The 18,836-nt window shown below is 42.9% G+C and overlaps 1 protein-coding gene across 2 annotated transcripts; it reads left to right on the top strand.

The window, feature by feature from the left end:
• GJB2 (gap junction protein beta 2) lies at positions 13,354 to 18,822 on the top strand. Of its 2 annotated transcripts, none has more exons than NM_004004.6 (2): positions 13,354 to 13,509; positions 16,689 to 18,822. In NM_004004.6, exon 2 carries the CDS (start codon positions 16,711 to 16,713, stop codon positions 17,389 to 17,391), a length of 681 nt encoding a protein of 226 aa, NP_003995.2. In that variant the 5' UTR covers positions 13,354 to 13,509; positions 16,689 to 16,710; the 3' UTR covers positions 17,392 to 18,822. The 2 variants fall into 2 exon arrangements, with proteins under 2 accessions (NP_003995.2, XP_011533351.1); XM_011535049.3 differs by having other exon boundaries at positions 13,354 to 14,331.

Below are 18,836 nucleotides of genomic sequence, written 5' to 3'. Positions count from 1 at the left end.
CCTCCTGCCTGGTGTAGTGCGTCTGCCCCACCTAGCTGCCATCTGTCTCCTCATCTAGCACCAGAAATTCATTCCCACAGGCCTTACCAAAATCGTAAACAGAGATCCTTTTTGATGCAGTAATCCCACTTTTAGGAATTTACCCTGCAGAAATATTCAAGTGCAAAAAAAAATAAGGATGATTTTGCAAAATTATGTATAATAGTATAAAAATGGAAATGACATATATATCCCTTATTAAAGAATAACCCAGAAGCATTAGTTAGTATCTGGAAAACATTTACTCATTTATGTAAAGAATAGCTGTTAAACTGTTGTAAATGGGGGAGGGGAGCAAAGACAGAATTTATGAAAGAAAGGGAAGGGAAGGCAGAGGGGAAAACATGAACATCATGAGAACAGTGAGTTTTGGTTTTTTGTATTGTTCAAAAACTTTGAGAGTTTCACTGTGGGGTGCACTAGTCAGGCTGTCTCCAGGCAACATCGCTAATGTCCTTCCATTCATGCCCCTCAGTGAAGCCTTGTCTACCATGTTTCCATCATCAGAATTTTCTCACAGTTAGTAAGGAAAAGGTTAAATAAATTATAGTGGAGCTATGGAACAGAACAAGGTAGATCTCTGCACACTGACAGAACTGAAAAACATGGGCTGTGGCCACAAACCTCCGTGTGTGTGTGTGTGTGTGTGTGTACAGAAGAAGAATGAACAATCATACACCAAACTGTTCATGGGGAGGGAACAGGGATGACTTTTACTTTTTATTCTTTTAGTTTTTATTCTACCTAATTCTGTAGTTTCTTTTCTTCTTCTTCTTCTTGTTTTTTGAGACAGAGTCTCTCTCTGTTGCCCAGGCTGCATCGCCATATCTGCTCACTGCAACCTCCGCCTCCTAGGTTCAAACGATTCTCATGCCTCAGCCTCCTGAGTAGCTGGGAATACAGGCGTGTGCCACCAAGCCCAGCTAGTTTTTTGCATTTTTAGTAGAAACATGGGGTTTTGCCATGTTGGCCAGGCTGGGCCCGAACTCCTTACCTCAGGTGATCTGCCTGACTCGGCCTCCCAAAGTACTGGGATTACAGGTGTGAGCCATCATGCCCGGCCCTAATTCTGTAGTTTCTTAATTTTTGCTGATTATATATTACTTATTTCAAAAATTATAAATGAGAATTAATTTACCCTTAAAAGAAATTTTCTTTGTATTGAAGTATTTCATCAGTAAATAGGTTTTCTCAGCTGCAGGTATAGCCATTCTACTTGTGGAATTATCAAATTGCTTCCATACTAGTTGGAAATAATATGATAGAGACTACAACAAGAAAGAAGTAAACTGAATTAATAATGTATGGTGAATGCTATCATAAACTCACAGATCCAGCTAATTGTCCTAAGATATCATACAGCCCATTGACAAATGGGCCTCGAGGGAGAGCCCGAGACACCTGAGACGCCCCCACAGGTGTCCCTGCCAGCTCAGCCCCCATCTCACAGGACAGCGTGGCTGCTACATGCAATGTCGGGCAGCCCCGCACACTGTAGAGAATCACCAGGCTAATGTTATCCTCAAATTATGTCATTGTTACTTTTGACTAATGATTAATAAGTTGTCATTCTTCTGTGAGTAGTAAGGGAGCAGTATTTTATAGTTATAAATTCAGAAACCTAGAATAAAATATTAAAAATAAAACCTCAGAAATAGGAAACAGACTTTGGATAATTTTTAATATTCCTTTTGAATATCAAAAACAGCAATCTTCAGAATCTGTAGGAGAAAAAAAAAGTGAATTATAGCCTAGAGTATCTCTTGATAGTCTAAACAAAAGCAGAATAGCCTAGAACATTTTTGACATTGTGTAAGAATCAGTAATAGTTTGTATTTCAGAAATAAAATGCAGTTTTATTGTTTCAACAAAAGTAGCGGCTTATTGTTGCTAGTAACATAACCACTGGATAAAAATGATGCTCAAAAGTCCTATTATTAAAAGCTGAACATACATACATTTTATCAAAATAGTAATTACTTCTATTAAAGCTCACAACTCAATAAATGAAAACTTATACCCATGAATGAATAAAAACTTAAAAGTCTATCCTAAATAAGTTTCACATAATAGGTCATCTGAAATAATAAAAATATCATTTATAAGGGAAATTTAAAAACATTTAGTAAGTAAAATAAGAAATTTTAACATTATCTACTATATAATTTTAAGTAATCGAGCAGGTTGTTTCTGGTTGAAATAATGGTGAGTTAGTTTATCCAAAACAAATGCTACTGCTGAGAAAAAGAGAAGTGGAGCAATGTAGACAAAACATCTGTTTGAAAGCATCAGAGGGCTGCCAAAGTAGCAAGGGCTTGAAGATCCCAGAAAGAAAGAAAAAGCAAAGGGATAAGACAGTTGCCGATTTGCAAAACAAGGAATAAACAAGCAAACAAAAACCCTAAATAGATACCCCAGGCTTTCAGTTCAGACATTGAAAGGGATAGCTGGGAGAAGGACTCACCTGGAAATTGGCTGACGCTCACCAAGACTAAAGCCAAGCTTTGAATTCGCTTAATCTTTGGCTGGATTAATAGTACTTTCCCTACCCCAACTGCCTTCCAGAAGCAAAAATAAATCCTGCTGGGAAGAAGTTAGCATCAGCCTGGGCCTCTATGTGCTGCATTCAGACTCATTCTCCTGTTGGCCACCATAGAGCCACTCTCTACTCAACAGTGCCAACCTTGAGTTCTATCTTTATTTCTGGCACTTCGAGACCTGCCTTTCTTTATTTCTTTCACTTAGTTATTTGTCAAGGTTTTTATGTGATATTTTATTGAGAATTATTATATTTAATGTGGGAAGAGAAACTTCTTGGACAGGTCCTACTGACATGTTGCAGGAAGTCGAAGTCACCTAAATGAATCTTCTAACTCGGTTTCCAAATCTCTTTAAATTAAAGACATACATATAGTCTTCAACAGTTTTTCCTGGCCAGGTGCGGTGGCTCACGCCGTTTGGGAGGCCGAGGCGGGAAGATCACCTGTGGTCAGGAGTTTGAGACCAGCCTGGCCAACATGGTGAAACCCCATGTCTACTAAAAATACAAAAAAATTAGCTGGGCATGGTGGCACACACCTGTAATTCCAGCTACTCAGGAGGCTGAGGCACAAGAATTGCTTGAACCCGGGAGGCAGAGGTTGCAGTGAGCCGAGATAGCACCACTGCACTCCAGCCTGGGCGACAGAGTGAGACTCTGTCTCAGAAAAAAAAAAAAAAAGTTTTTCGTGAGTATTGAAAAGATGGTTATGAAGTACATCTTTTTCTCTCTTCTTTCCTGCTTCTCTATTACTATTTCTTAATATTCCTATAGGTGAAATAAAACTCAAAACTACAGCTTTTCTACTTGTTAGAAGGTTTCATAAAACATCTTCTGGAGGAAGAGATTGGTACTGATCTCGAATGCAGGGCTCAAGAAACTTCACCCACATACTTCTTTCCAAGGACCTCACACACCCACCCTGTTATGCCACCTTAATTTAAATTTTTGCTCCAGTAATTAACAAGAAAAAAAACAAAATATATGAAGGAATAATAAGAAGACACACATTTTCTGAAAATAAAAGCTCTAGTAATTGGTCAGTGAGAAAAATCAAAGAAATAAGAAGAAGACACACATTTTCTGAAAATAAAAGCTCCAGTAATTGGTCAATGAGAAGAATCCTCTATCACTCATTTCACATCAACGTGTTTAATAACTATCAGTGAAAAATTTTAAACTGGTTTAAATTTTTTAAACTAGTATAAATCTGTTGGCAAAGGTGTAGAAAAACAGGTCTTCTCATTGCTGATGGAATGAAAATTGGTTCAATCCCCATGGAAGGCAATTTGGCTATATCCATCAAAATAACAAATGCATGTACATTTTGACCCATCACATCTAGTTTGAGGACATTATCCTCCAGAAGTACTTGCATAAATATATAATGACATATGTACATGACAAATAATTAGAGTACAATTTGTATTATTTATTACTTAAATGTTAGTAGAATTCACCAGTGAAGCTATCTGGGCCTGGAGTTTTATTTGTGGGAAAGGTTTTTGTTACAAATTCAATTTTCTTAATAGATACATTTTTTCATTTCTGTTTGTGCCCATTTTGATAAGTTGTATTTTTCAAGGAATTTAAATTTGTTCACTTCAATCAAGTTATTGAATTTATTGGAAGAAAATTGTTCCTACATTTTATTATTAACTTTTTTAGTGTCTGTAGGATCTGTTGTGATTTCCCCTCTTTCATTCCTGATGACATAGTTTATGTTTTTTCTCTTTTTTCCTTAATTACTGTTGCTTGGAATGTTATGGACAGAATTGTGTCCCTCCAACAATCATACATCAAAGCACTACTGTGCAGTGTGATGGTGTTTGGAGACTGAGCCTTTGGGAGATAGCTAGGTTGAGATGAGGTTATGAGGGTGTGGCCCTCATGATGGGATGAGCGCCCTTATAAAAAGAGACACCAGAGAGCTTGCACCTCTCTCTCTCTCTGCCATGTGAGCACACAGCAAGAAGGCTACCATCTGCAAGCCAGGAAGAAAGCCCTCACCAGAACCCAAGCATACTGGCATCCTGATCTTGGACTTCCAGCCTCCAGAACCATGACAAAATAAGTTTCTGTTGTTTAAGCTACCCAGTCTATGGTATTTTGTTATGGCAGCCCAAGCTAAGACAAAGAGTTTATCAATTTTATTAATATTTTCAAAGTATTAAACTTTGGCTTTGTTTGATTTTCTCTATTAGTTGCCTTCTACTTAATTGATTTTTTTATATTTGTTATTTCCTTTCTGTACATACAATGAGTTTCATTTGTTCTTTTTTCACACTTCTTAAGGTGGAAATGTAATAGTCAATTCTAAATTTTTCTTCTTTTTCTAATATTTATTTTTAATATTTAAGGCAAAAATTTCTCTGTTAGCACTGCTTCAGGTACATACCCCAAATTTTAATATTTATGTTTTCATTTTCATTGATTTTAAACATTTCAAATGTCTCAAAATTCCTTCTTTTACTCATGGGTTATTTGTTATTTAATTTCCAAATGTTTGGTATTTTCTAGATATTCATATATCTAGTTTAATTCTGCAACAGTCAGAGAATATATTCTGTGAGATTTCTATTCCTTGGAATTTATTGAGACATTTCATAGTTCAGCATGTCTTTTCTCAACAAACATTTCACATGCACTTGAAAACGATGTGTATTATGCAGTTGCTAAACCTGGTGTTCTATAAATGTAAGTGAGGCCAAATTAGCTGATAGTATTCCTTAGATCTTCTATATCCTTACTGATTTTTATTATATACATGTTCTGTCAATTACTCAGTTATTATAACTATGAATATGGATTTGTCATTTTTCCCTTTGGTGTTCTTAATATTGCTTTGTGTATTTTGGATCTCTGTTACTTAGGGAATACACATTTAAGAGTGATGTCTTCTTCTTTTTTTTTTTTTTTTGAAATGGAGTCTCGCCCAGTTGCCCAGACTGGAGTGCATGGTGCGAACTCAGCTCACTGCAACCTCCGCCCACTGGGTTCAAATGAATCTCCCCGTCTAGCTGGGATTGCTGACGCCCACCACCACGCCCAGCTAATTTTTTGTATTTTTAGTATAGATGGGGTTTTGCCATGTTAGCCAGGCTGGTCTTGAACTCCTGACCTCAGGCAATCCGCCTGCCTGGGCCTCCCAAAGTGCAGGGATTACTGGTGTGAGCCACTGCACCTGGCCAAGATTGATGTCTTCTTGATGAAAAGACCCTTTTACCATTTGAGATGTCTTTTTAACTCTGTTAGTTTCCTTGTTTTGAAGTATATTTTGTACAGTAAAGCCACCCCAGCTTCCCTATAATTTAAGTTTGCATTGTGTATGTACATTTTCCCATACTTTTATTTTCAATATGTAGTGTATCTACTTCTATTGACTGTTTTTTTTTTTCCTCCTGATTATGGATCTCATTTTCCTATTTCCTCACGTCTTGTGATTTTTTTACTGAAGGTTAGACATTGCATATAAAAGACTCTCCAGGAGTGTTTTGTTTTTGTTTTTTCTAGTGAGTGCAAGTCCTTTTCTCTCTGCCAGCTGGCTGGAATGAGAATCTGATCAGATTTCATCAAGAGTCAGGTTGAGCTGAGACTGAGCTGTAGTGTTCACTAAATTGAGTGCACCACTGATATCTAATGGAAACAAGGACGTTTTACTTTGCTCCTCAGCCTAACCTGAATTTCCTATGCCGCCACTGTATAATGGCTAGTTTCTTTGGTTTTACTACTGTTCAAACTGGAAGCAGGTTGAGACATAGATTTCATATCATTTGGCTTACCTTGCATCTAACATGGCTCCAAAATTCAAGCACTATGAAATTGTTTGTTTTCCAGCCTTGCCTCCACTGCCACTTTTGCAGTAAAATCAGGGACAGGGGGTGACTGTTGAGCCAAACTATTTTTGCATTTGGTGGACTTCTAAATTCTAAACCATCTCCAAATCTTTTGGCAGATTTTTCTTAAAGGTACAAAGTCTCTTCATTGATAGAGGCCTGCTTCTCCACCTTCCCACACAGAAATCAGGTACTTTCCCTCAAGTAAGAAAGAAGCTGTGGGCTCTCTGCTCACCATCACGCTCAGTAATTCAGCTCATCAAAGCTTACCCTCTCCACTGTTCTTTGGTAATTGCCACAAAAAAAGTATGATTTTCATTTTATCAGGGTTTTTTGTTATTGTTATCATACGAATAATGGTATTTTGCATTCTATATTTTAATTGGAAGCAGAAGCCATATTATTGTTAGTAACAGCGAAATATTAGAAATAATCCAAACACCCATCAAAAAAGGGTTTTTAATTAAATGATTACATAATCATATAAAGGAATACTATGAAACTGTGTGAAAGAATGAAGAAACTCTTTGTTCACTTATATAAAAAGATCCCATGATATGTTAAGAAAAGCAAAGTGTGGAATAGTAGGTAAAATATTCTATCTTATGTGCAAAAGGGGAAATAAAAGTCATCAATATTCATGTAGATTCAATTCACATATAGATTCATATCACATTCCTATATATATAGAAATTCTGGAAAGACACAAAATAAATTAATAAAAGTTGTTACTTCATTGTAGTTTTTAAAGTTTTTTGAGTCTTAAGACTTACTTTCCACTTCTGTAGAAAGGAATTACAAATCCTTTCTTTATAGAGCTATGTGATGAAATAAACATAAAGCATTTGGCACACTTCAGGATAGCAACTTGTGGATTAATGATTAACACAGTCACCTTTGCACCAGATTACACCCAGAGATTCCTTCATTTATATTTATGTGGTTTTGTGTGTCAGTTATGCAGTCTAACTCAGTCATTCAACTATGTTACAGCTGCAACACTCTATTTTTTTCTTTGGTACAGGAGTCGCCCTCTTATCCACTGTTTCATTTTTGTGGTTCCAGTTACCTGTAGTCAACCACAGTTGGAAAATATGATAGCATTTTGAGAGAGAGACTGCATCCAAAAACTTATATTACAATATATTGTTATACATTGTTATAAGTGTTGTTTTATTATTCTTTATTGTTAATCTCTTACCATTAAGCCTTATGGTAGGTTTGTATGTATAGGAAAAAACAGATTATATAGAGGGTTCAGTACCATCTGAGGTTTCAGGCATCACTGGGGGCTTGGAATGTACCCCTCATGGATAATGGGGAACTACCATAAATTGTAAGCAGAGGCTGTGTCTTTCTAAAGCCCAGCCACCTAATTACCTACATGCAATATCACGTAGCCTGTAAGAATAAGTGAATGTTTCCCATCAGATGGTGACTGAGATGACCAATACCATCTTCACCCATGAAAGCTATGTGTACTAGAGCCCCATATCACTAATAGCAATAGTCTAATACGCTAAATTCCCCGCCATCATTGATTCATTTCAAAGCCAATAAAGAGACAATATAAACCATTATGTTTACTGCCTCCTCTTTTCCAAAGCATAATTGTTCAATGCATACGTTTGGCATTAAAAGTCTCTATCTGGCTCTTTAAATATGTAACCCATTAAAATGACTGATCCCTGATTTCTGAGCATACTACATATCAAAGTATTATTCCTATCCTTTTTTAGACAAATAATTGTATTAAACTAGTAAAAGACCTAACTAAATGTTGCTATTGCTTCTCAGATCACAAAGAGGAGCCCTGGGACGTCCTTTTCCAAGCTGAAATGATGGTCCTAAGCAGCCCATCCACAAATAAATCTCACCAACCTGGGGTTTCTGGGATCAACGGACTGTGAACTTAAGGCACAGCAGAGCTGGGGCTGCTCTTAAGGCCCTGCTGTCTCTCCTCTTAGTAACAACACCATTTCACATGAAGTGACAGTGGTATCTTTTGTTGCCCTGGAAATGGAATACAACAATGGCTTTCCAACTTTTCTGTGGCAGAGACCTACAGACAGAAGTACATTTTACACTGGATCCAGGACACACATCAGTCTGAAAACACACACATGAACCAAACGTTTCCTAAAGCATTACTTATCCTTGCTAATAGCAACACATTCTCATATTCTTTTATACTTCATTTAATTTCATATAAAAAAGAAAAGGAAAGGAAAGAAATCTATTTCTCAGCCCATTAATAAGGTCAGGAGCAGCAACACCAGACTAGAAGAAAAGCTTACCTATAGATTTTTCTGCCACCTCTTGAGTGCGTCCAGCTTTCCGACAAGTCTCAGTGCCATCTACTGTGCGCTCTGGGTATTGCAATTGCTTTTTTTTTTTTTTTTTTTTTTTTTTTAGAATGAGACTAAGTCAGAGAACACAAAGAACTTCTTTCCCCACAGTGGAGATGGCTCTGAAAGCGTTTAAGGAATAGCTTAGATGAGTGGCTAACACATTCTCCCGGTTCTGAATTCTAAGACCACAGACTCCATGTCCAGTCCCCAAAGAGAGGCTTTGCAAGCTACAGAATACCCCTCTGACTGGGACCTCAGGAGCTAAACTGACCACGTAATTGGTTCTAGAAAGTGAAACGTTTTAATTTGAAACATCCAAATGAGCATTTTGTGAAAAGCTACTGCCGTCCATCAAATACAACACAGCCAGGGAGTCATCGCTCTATTGCCCTTGTCAATCCTACATCTATAGTTTTTTTTGCTACAGCAGTTCATGAGTGTTGACTCTATTCTAACTTGTTCCAGAAGCCCTTCAAGATGATAGATAGCACAATATTTTTGTAGCCAGAGCTAGAATGTAGAGCTCTTTTTGGCTTCCTTGTGAATGATCCAGAATTTCCATGTTGGCAAGCCACCATAATTTACAGAATTTACTTTTTATATTCAATAGAAGTAAAAAAAATTTACCTATTTAAGGAGTTATAGCTCTGGATTCATTTCTGACCAAAATGTGCTTTTTGACACAAATACAATTGGAAATGTCTTTGTAATTTATCCACAGTCTGCCTAGATAATCATAAAAGAACTGCATGGATATATTTGTGAGTAAGAGCACGTGTCCATTCAGCAAAACCAAGGAGATCAACTAATTCTACCATTGCCTTGAAACGGAGACACATCTAGCAGTTTGAATTTCCCCCAAAAGATTGTATGTGTGAAAATAAGAATAGAATGAGGAAAATTTAAAAGCCTATATAATAATTTCAGTCACAACTTGGCAATTAGAATTTTATGAGATGTCTTTAATTTGGAAGCAAAGAACAATTAAATTATTGAAGGCTGGAATTTTTTTTTAACTCTTTGAATGGAACAACAGATTTTCCCCAAAAGATTTGACTTTAACAATTTTCAGAAAACATAAGTCAGGGTGTGGTTCAATTACACAGAGAGAAATTGTAGTGAAATAGTGTTCCCTGTAATAATTACCCACAAAGGAGCACAGTGGAGCCACTCCTGCATTAAAATTACAGTATCATATGTAAGTTATTATTAATTAACCAGAGATGCCAGGAGCTTGTCAGTTTCCAACTGCTATTTTGAGGAGAGCTAAAGTTTCTCTTTTTTTGCCAGTTATTATTATTATTAATATTTCAACAGCAAGGCAAGAAAAGGGAATGTGGTCCATTAACTAATGGCTCTTGAAAAGACACTCAATGAATCCAACTTGCCCTAAAACTGCCAAGTGGTAGGACAGTCTCTTCGCGTCTTGCATCATTTTCTGCCATCACCTACGTGTGATTCGTGAGTCGGAAATTCAACCAAGACATGTTTAATGTATATTTAGAGCATTCTTCCCGGCGGGAATTCACGGTGCCATTCCATCAGGCAGTTGGCAAGCAGTCACTTGAAATATTAAGAAATATGATTTGTGTCACACTGATTTATTGCAAAACAGCAACTTCTTTCTTTTTGGTTCATTTATAAAACAACTGTCAAATTAAAATGCCAAATAGCTTTAAACATTAGCATTTTCACCTTATAACCTTACAAGTGCATCACTTTAAACATCTGAGTAAAAGTTCAGCTCGATGACAATCACCTGGGATTTACCTGCATGGTACTAAGCATATATGTAAAAATATTACTGATGGGTATCTCTGGCACTCTGAAGTGACAAAGTGTAGCCTTCACAGATCTTTGTCAGTTAATCATCAATAGTTACCTGAAAAGTGCCCACTTGCCATCATTCAAGATCAACCAGGCAGACACCACAGTGAGTTTTCCATCAAAAAACCTTCTCTATCTGGTCAGTCTCTGCACGTCAATGAGACAAAGGTGTATGCTGCACGCAGCAGTACTATCCTAAGCTCCCTGTGTCCTCACCATGGGGCTGGGTGGCTGGGGTGGAGGAACACAGGATTGGGCTTCAGCTTCTCTAGGGACTGGTACATTAAGAGATGAAGACATAAAAGGTGAGAAAAACATGGTTTATTTCCAATGTTTCCATTTCTGTTAAAAGTAATGCTTTCAACAGAAAAAAAATGCAGCAATATAAGTGTGTAATTTACAAAATAATTTCAGGATTTCTTTAATCATTAATTTGTGGTGTCATCTGTTAACTGGATTTACGTCTAAGCTCATTTGTAAATAACTTCAAATATCCAAGCCTTCCCTCACCCTTTTCCCACCTCACCTCTCCTCCTTCTCCTCCCCTACACTGGAGGACACTATGTACATGCATATAATGTCCTGCCCTAGAGGAGTCCTGAGCCTACTTGGGAAGAAAACACCAACTCACAGGAAAACAGCAGAAATCACACAAAACAGAATAAAAGCAAGCGCTGATCTGTAAGTGAAGACTTAAGTGCTATAGGACTTCCAGCTACAAATCCTGAAAACACGGAGTGGCTGTGATAATACGACTAGCCAACATCACACAGTAATTTTGCACATAAGGAGAACTAAATCAAAGAAAACAAGGAAAAGAAAGTTGAGCCTATAATCGTGATACAGGCACTAAAATCTCAGGTGACATTTTTCAATGGGGGAAAGTCAGTCAACTTCCGATCTCCAAACCATCTTTACTAGCGAGCTTCCCACAATGGTTCTAGAACCTTCCTTCATTCCAACCCAACCAGGATTCCAACAGACTCATAAACACCACAGCCTTTGAGAAATTAAAGGGAGAACCCACCAACCGGCGCCCCACTCCCCACCCCAAGTCACCTCTGGCTCAACCAAGATGCGCTCAGGCCAAGAAAGCTGCCCCACCCCACAGGCTTTGCCTGTCATTTTTAACAAGCCGACTCAGCACATCTCTCAGATGGGCCATGCAAGGCTTTTCGCAGCTCCTGGGGCTTTGCCTCTTCATGAGCAGACACTCCCTCTTAGACTAAGACCTGGAGCTGGAAAGTAGGTGGTAACCGCGGTACAAAACTCACGCTCGTCCCTGCAGAAACTGCCTAGGTCGGCCCATGGCCACGGGGCGCCAATTTTTCAAGGAAAAGTCAATGCTAATAATGGTGGCAATCACGGGAAATCCATTCTGAGGCCAGATCTGACTTGTCAGGATTAATCATCATTTCCACTTAACTTCGAACTGACCTGGGTAAAAACGTGAGCGCGAGGGGACCAGGCTGCACCTCTGACCTGGCTCCCCTCTGCAAAAATCGCGAAGTGGGTGCCCGAGGTGGGGCGGGGGTTGGGGGAGACCTCCCCGGGAGTCCCCACCCAGCCTGCTCTGCACATCTTAGTCCCTCATCCGCTTGCGCTGTGCAAATCTGTCTTCTGTCATTTGTATCGCAAGACATCAAAATCCCCAACCAAATGCAAATACTGAGACCTCATAATCTGAGACAAAGTTTCACGGTATCCAGAAAGCCCCCAGCAGGTGTGCAGTGCAGAGCCAGCCCCCCAGCGGTCTTCCGCAGAATCCTATCAGTTTCCCCCTTTCGTGCTGTGTGCATCGAGCAGGAAGGGGCTTGGCAGGTTTTACCTGCCCTCTTTCCTTTCTGAAAAGTCTGGGCCTCCTCACCCCGAAAGGAGTCACCTCCTTGCAGTTCCCCAGTTGCGAAAAGAGGAGGAAGTTGGCTGGGCCGGGGGCCGCGGGGGGCACCCTCCGCAGATGGCGGGACCCCCCTGCCGGCCATGGCAAAAACGAGGCTTGTCTCTCCCACCGCCCCCAACCTTAGTCCTTGGCACATTGTTGAAAGTAATTGAATAAAATCGGAAATTCGAGAAGGCGTTCGTTCGGATTGGTGAGATTTTGAGGGGAGAAAGAAGCGGGGACTTCGCCGGCACCAGCGGCGCCCCCTCCTCGGCCACCGTTAACCCCCATTCCAGAGGGCACTGCCCCGCCACCCAGCCTAGGTCCCCCTGCGAGAGCCTCGCGGGCCCGCGCAGCCTCCGCGACTCGAACAGATCTTCAGTCCTTGGAGGAATGCCTGTTTCTCTAACAATAAAAAATTAAAGAAGCGCTCATAAATGCCAAGTCCTCTCGCACTATGCGGAGTACAGAGGACAACGACCACAGCCATCCCTGAACCCCGCCCACGGCACAGCGCCGGAGCCGGGGTCTGGGGCGCCGCTTCCTGGGGGGTCCCGACTCTCAGCCGCCCCCGCTTCACCCGGGCCGCCAAGGGGCTGGGGGAGGCGGCGCTCGGGGTAACCGGGGGAGACTCAGGGCGCTGGGGGCACTTGGGGAACTCATGGGGGCTCAAAGGAACTAGGAGATCGGGACCTCGAAGGGGACTTGGGGGGTTCGGGGCTTTCGGGGGCGGTCGGGGGTTCGCGGACCCGGGAAGCTCTGAGGACCCAGAGGCCGGGCGCGCTCCGCCCGCGGCGCCGCCCCCTCCGTAACTTTCCCAGTCTCCGAGGGAAGAGGCGGGGTGTGGGGTGCGGTTAAAAGGCGCCACGGCGGGAGACAGGTGTTGCGGCCCCGCAGCGCCCGCGCGCTCCTCTCCCCGACTCGGAGCCCCTCGGCGGCGCCCGGCCCAGGACCCGCCTAGGAGCGCAGGAGCCCCAGCGCAGAGACCCCAACGCCGAGACCCCCGCCCCGGCCCCGCCGCGCTTCCTCCCGACGCAGGTGAGCCCGCCGGCCCCGGACTGCCCGGCCAGGAACCTGGCGCGGGGAGGGACCGCGAGACCCAGAGCGGTTGCCCGGCCGCGTGGGTCTCGGGGAACCGGGGGGCTGGACCAACACACGTCCTTGGGCCGGGGGGCGGGGGCCGCCTTCTGGAGCGGGCGTTTCTGCGGCCGAGCTCCGGAGCTGGAATGGGGCGGCCGGGGAAGTGGACGCGATGGCACCGCCCGGGGTGCGAGTGGGGCCGGGCGCGCGCGGGAGGGGAAAAAGGCGCGGGCGAGCCGCCAGCGCGAGGTTTGTGGTGTCGCCGATGTCCCTTCGGGGTACTCTAGCGCAGCCGCCTGGCTACTTGACCCACTGCCACCAAACGTTTTAAATTCACCGAAAGCTTAGCTTCGAAGCAAAGCTCCGTTTCGCCGGTGAAGCAGGAAGCCTTCGCTGCAGGAACTGACCTTTACCTCTTGGAGCGGCTTCTGCAGAAAAATCCCCGGGCAGAGATTTGGGCGGAGTTTGCCTAGAACTAACGCGGAGCCAGCCGATCCCGGCCTACCCCGGGGCCAAGATTTCAGTGGCTTCCCTTTTTCCTAAACACTTCACGAGGGTCTGTTTCCGGGCTGTGCTCCCCGCCTAGAAGGAAAATTTTTAGGACCCTTGTTCGCGAAGAGGTGGTGTGCGGCTGAGACCCGCGTCCTCAGGACGGTTCCATCAGTGCCTCGATCCTGCCCCACTGGAGGAGGAAGGCAGCCCGAACAGCGCTCACCTAACTAACAGCTGCTGAGAGCTGGGTTCCGTGGCCATGCACCTGGGACTGCCTTGAGAAGCGTGGTACGGCCGTGTCCCCATGTGACCTTAGAGTCCCTTTCGAAACTGCTGTGCACAGTCGGTCACAATTTCAGACACTGGTGAGAAGGGTGGAGGAACCCTCTGGGGACAGCCAGGCAAGGTCGACCACCCATCACCTAAGGGTGGAGAAATTTAAGGGGTGAAGAGTCCCTTTTGCCTTTTCTGGATCCTGGTGATTCACCTAGTGTCTTCCCTAAGGAACTGAACCAACTCCTCCGCTGGCCTCTGGCAGCCCTCCAGGCGGTGCAGGATGGCGTGGGCCCGGTAGGAAGCTGCATGTAACCGCCCAGGGTCGGGAGGCCAGGAGGGCAGCTCCTCCTCTGACTTGAATATTGAAAACAACTTCGTCCTGCTTCTGAGCCCCTCTTAACCCATGACCCCCTAGCCCATTGGGGAGTAAATCTTAATTTACTCCTCTTCCTGAAAAAGGATCTTTAAAACAGGTAGCTTCAACTCAAGCTTTATAAAATAACAATATAGGGTTTCTCGGAACTGTATTTTTCTCAGCTGATGGTAACTGGACAGGTCTGTAGAAGGGTGTATGACCTGGGTTTGGCAGGTGGAAGAGGGCAAAGGATAAACCCCTCCTCCTGCAGCCCCATATTCTTGGCCAGGTGTATTGTTGTAAACCAGGAGAGAGTTTACTTCGGGGAGTATCCTGTTTTCCACTCAGTGAGGGCCAATGAAGAATGTCTAATTCCATAAGATGCTTTTGTTAAAATCGGAATGTTGCTGTCCTCGGTGGTTCTGCTGTTGGGACGGGACTGGCCTGAGCTGTGGGTGCTGTAGCAGGACAACCAGCTCACCTAAGGGCCTCCCAGTCTGGATTATCAATGGGTCAGTGCTGAACCTGGGCTAAAATATTGTTTTTTCCAATGATGTTGTCTTTCCCAAGCTCAGTGAAGCTAAATGTTTCACAGGCCTATGTCAATCTGATGTAACTTTCGTGGCCACCTCTCTCCTGTTAGCCTCTGACCAAGGTGGCACTGGATGGTTTCTGCCTGACCTTGGTGCCCCGTGGCAGCGACTGTGGGTCATGAAAGACATTCACTACGAGCCTGCTTCTGGAGTCCATCAGAAAACGGGATGCAACTTGCCTAAAATGAGGAGAGGAGGATGCTTTTAAGAAAAAGAAGAAGGAGGATTCACTACCAGCTCTGAAGGGTGGAAAAGAGATGATTCATCCGGATTGTGGAGAGGGTGGAATCTTGTTTAGGAGAGCGTTGGTTGTGGCAGGCAGGGTGTAACTATGAATCAGTGAAGACAATTCACATCCTGGGATGAAAAGAAGGCCATGGGCTCACAGGAGATTATCCACTGGCCTCTCCACATCCGCTTGCAGTAAGGAGTGTGGGACTCTCCCAAGCTTCAGCGCTGAACTGCAATGCAGTGACGTCGCTTAGCTGGGCCAGTAACCGAGGGAGTTGAATTTTCTGTCATTTTAAAATAATGTGTCTTTTAAGAAACACTTTGAAATTAAAACCACAGCCCACAATTATAATGCACTGTTGCAGCACTTATCAAAACAGATATGCTAACTGAGCCATCAGTGCCAGCCTGACAGTGAGGCCACCAAGCCATCCACAAAGCCTACACGAAAGTCTGTGCTCACAGTGGCTTTTCTCCATGAAGAGGGCATTCCTAACCTCTTCCTTTCACGTAGGAGGAAGCAAGGTCCTTTGTAAAATTTTAACTCGGGGTGCCTCAAATGTAAACTTAACCACTGGTAACAACAGTTTCACTGCTACATGCCACGTCTGTGAAAATTCATTCAAGACATTAAGGAAAGTGGCTCAGCAGAGAGACTAGACATCTTATCCTCACGGTTCTCCTGTACTTGGCCTCTCAGCCTTTGAGCAAGGTTGGCCCAAGCTAGTATCGGCCCCAGTGGTACAGCCAAAACTTGAGACTGCAAATGGATGCAGCTGTTGAACGCTGAGTAACTTCTGCAGAGTCAGGAAGACCCAAGGAAGCTCTGCAGAGGATGCAGGGGTACGGTCAGAACCCCTGAGTGCCTTTCAGCTAACGAGGACTTTATGACACTCCCCAGCACAGCAAATTTTTATGATGTGTTTAAAGATTGGGTGAATTACTCAGGTGAACAAGCTACTTTTTATCAGAGAACACCTAAAAACACGTTCAAGAGGGTTTGGGAACTATACATTTAATCCTATGACAAACTAAGTTGGTTCTGTCTTCACCTGTTTTGGTGAGGTTGTGTAAGAGTTGGTGTTTGCTCAGGAAGAGATTTAAGCATGCTTGCTTACCCAGACTCAGAGAAGTCTCCCTGTTCTGTCCTAGCTAGTGATTCCTGTGTTGTGTGCATTCGTCTTTTCCAGAGCAAACCGCCCAGAGTAGAAGATGGATTGGGGCACGCTGCAGACGATCCTGGGGGGTGTGAACAAACACTCCACCAGCATTGGAAAGATCTGGCTCACCGTCCTCTTCATTTTTCGCATTATGATCCTCGTTGTGGCTGCAAAGGAGGTGTGGGGAGATGAGCAGGCCGACTTTGTCTGCAACACCCTGCAGCCAGGCTGCAAGAACGTGTGCTACGATCACTACTTCCCCATCTCCCACATCCGGCTATGGGCCCTGCAGCTGATCTTCGTGTCCACGCCAGCGCTCCTAGTGGCCATGCACGTGGCCTACCGGAGACATGAGAAGAAGAGGAAGTTCATCAAGGGGGAGATAAAGAGTGAATTTAAGGACATCGAGGAGATCAAAACCCAGAAGGTCCGCATCGAAGGCTCCCTGTGGTGGACCTACACAAGCAGCATCTTCTTCCGGGTCATCTTCGAAGCCGCCTTCATGTACGTCTTCTATGTCATGTACGACGGCTTCTCCATGCAGCGGCTGGTGAAGTGCAACGCCTGGCCTTGTCCCAACACTGTGGACTGCTTTGTGTCCCGGCCCACGGAGAAGACTGTCTTCACAGTGTTCATGATTGCAGTGTCTGGAATTTGCATCCTGCTGAATGTCACTGAATTGTGTTATTTGCTAATTAGATATTGTTCTGGGAAGTCAAAAAAGCCAGTTTAACGCATTGCCCAGTTGTTAGATTAAGAAATAGACAGCATGAGAGGGATGAGGCAACCCGTGCTCAGCTGTCAAGGCTCAGTCGCTAGCATTTCCCAACACAAAGATTCTGACCTTAAATGCAACCATTTGAAACCCCTGTAGGCCTCAGGTGAAACTCCAGATGCCACAATGGAGCTCTGCTCCCCTAAAGCCTCAAAACAAAGGCCTAATTCTATGCCTGTCTTAATTTTCTTTCACTTAAGTTAGTTCCACTGAGACCCCAGGCTGTTAGGGGTTATTGGTGTAAGGTACTTTCATATTTTAAACAGAGGATATCGGCATTTGTTTCTTTCTCTGAGGACAAGAGAAAAAAGCCAGGTTCCACAGAGGACACAGAGAAGGTTTGGGTGTCCTCCTGGGGTTCTTTTTGCCAACTTTCCCCACGTTAAAGGTGAACATTGGTTCTTTCATTTGCTTTGGAAGTTTTAATCTCTAACAGTGGACAAAGTTACCAGTGCCTTAAACTCTGTTACACTTTTTGGAAGTGAAAACTTTGTAGTATGATAGGTTATTTTGATGTAAAGATGTTCTGGATACCATTATATGTTCCCCCTGTTTCAGAGGCTCAGATTGTAATATGTAAATGGTATGTCATTCGCTACTATGATTTAATTTGAAATATGGTCTTTTGGTTATGAATACTTTGCAGCACAGCTGAGAGGCTGTCTGTTGTATTCATTGTGGTCATAGCACCTAACAACATTGTAGCCTCAATCGAGTGAGACAGACTAGAAGTTCCTAGTGATGGCTTATGATAGCAAATGGCCTCATGTCAAATATTTAGATGTAATTTTGTGTAAGAAATACAGACTGGATGTACCACCAACTACTACCTGTAATGACAGGCCTGTCCAACACATCTCCCTTTTCCATGACTGTGGTAGCCAGCATCGGAAAGAACGCTGATTTAAAGAGGTCGCTTGGGAATTTTATTGACACAGTACCATTTAATGGGGAGGACAAAATGGGGCAGGGGAGGGAGAAGTTTCTGTCGTTAAAAACAGATTTGGAAAGACTGGACTCTAAAGTCTGTTGATTAAAGATGAGCTTTGTCTACTTCAAAAGTTTGTTTGCTTACCCCTTCAGCCTCCAATTTTTTAAGTGAAAATATAGCTAATAACATGTGAAAAGAATAGAAGCTAAGGTTTAGATAAATATTGAGCAGATCTATAGGAAGATTGAACCTGAATATTGCCATTATGCTTGACATGGTTTCCAAAAAATGGTACTCCACATATTTCAGTGAGGGTAAGTATTTTCCTGTTGTCAAGAATAGCATTGTAAAAGCATTTTGTAATAATAAAGAATAGCTTTAATGATATGCTTGTAACTAAAATAATTTTGTAATGTATCAAATACATTTAAAACATTAAAATATAATCTCTATAATAATTTAAAATCTAATA

This window comes from Homo sapiens, chromosome 13 (genome assembly GCF_000001405.40).
Source record: "Homo sapiens chromosome 13, GRCh38.p14 Primary Assembly".
In the NCBI taxonomy this organism is placed as follows: Eukaryota; Metazoa; Chordata; class Mammalia; order Primates; family Hominidae; genus Homo; species Homo sapiens.
The sequence above is the reverse complement of the archived record's forward strand: the minus strand, read 5'-3'. Positions and strand labels throughout refer to the sequence as shown.

Excerpts from the sequence above, each read along its gene's own strand:
- GJB2 (NM_004004.6), top strand. The coding sequence starts at position 16,711 with ATGGATTGGGGCACGCTGCAGACGATCCTGGGGGGTGTGAACAAACAC.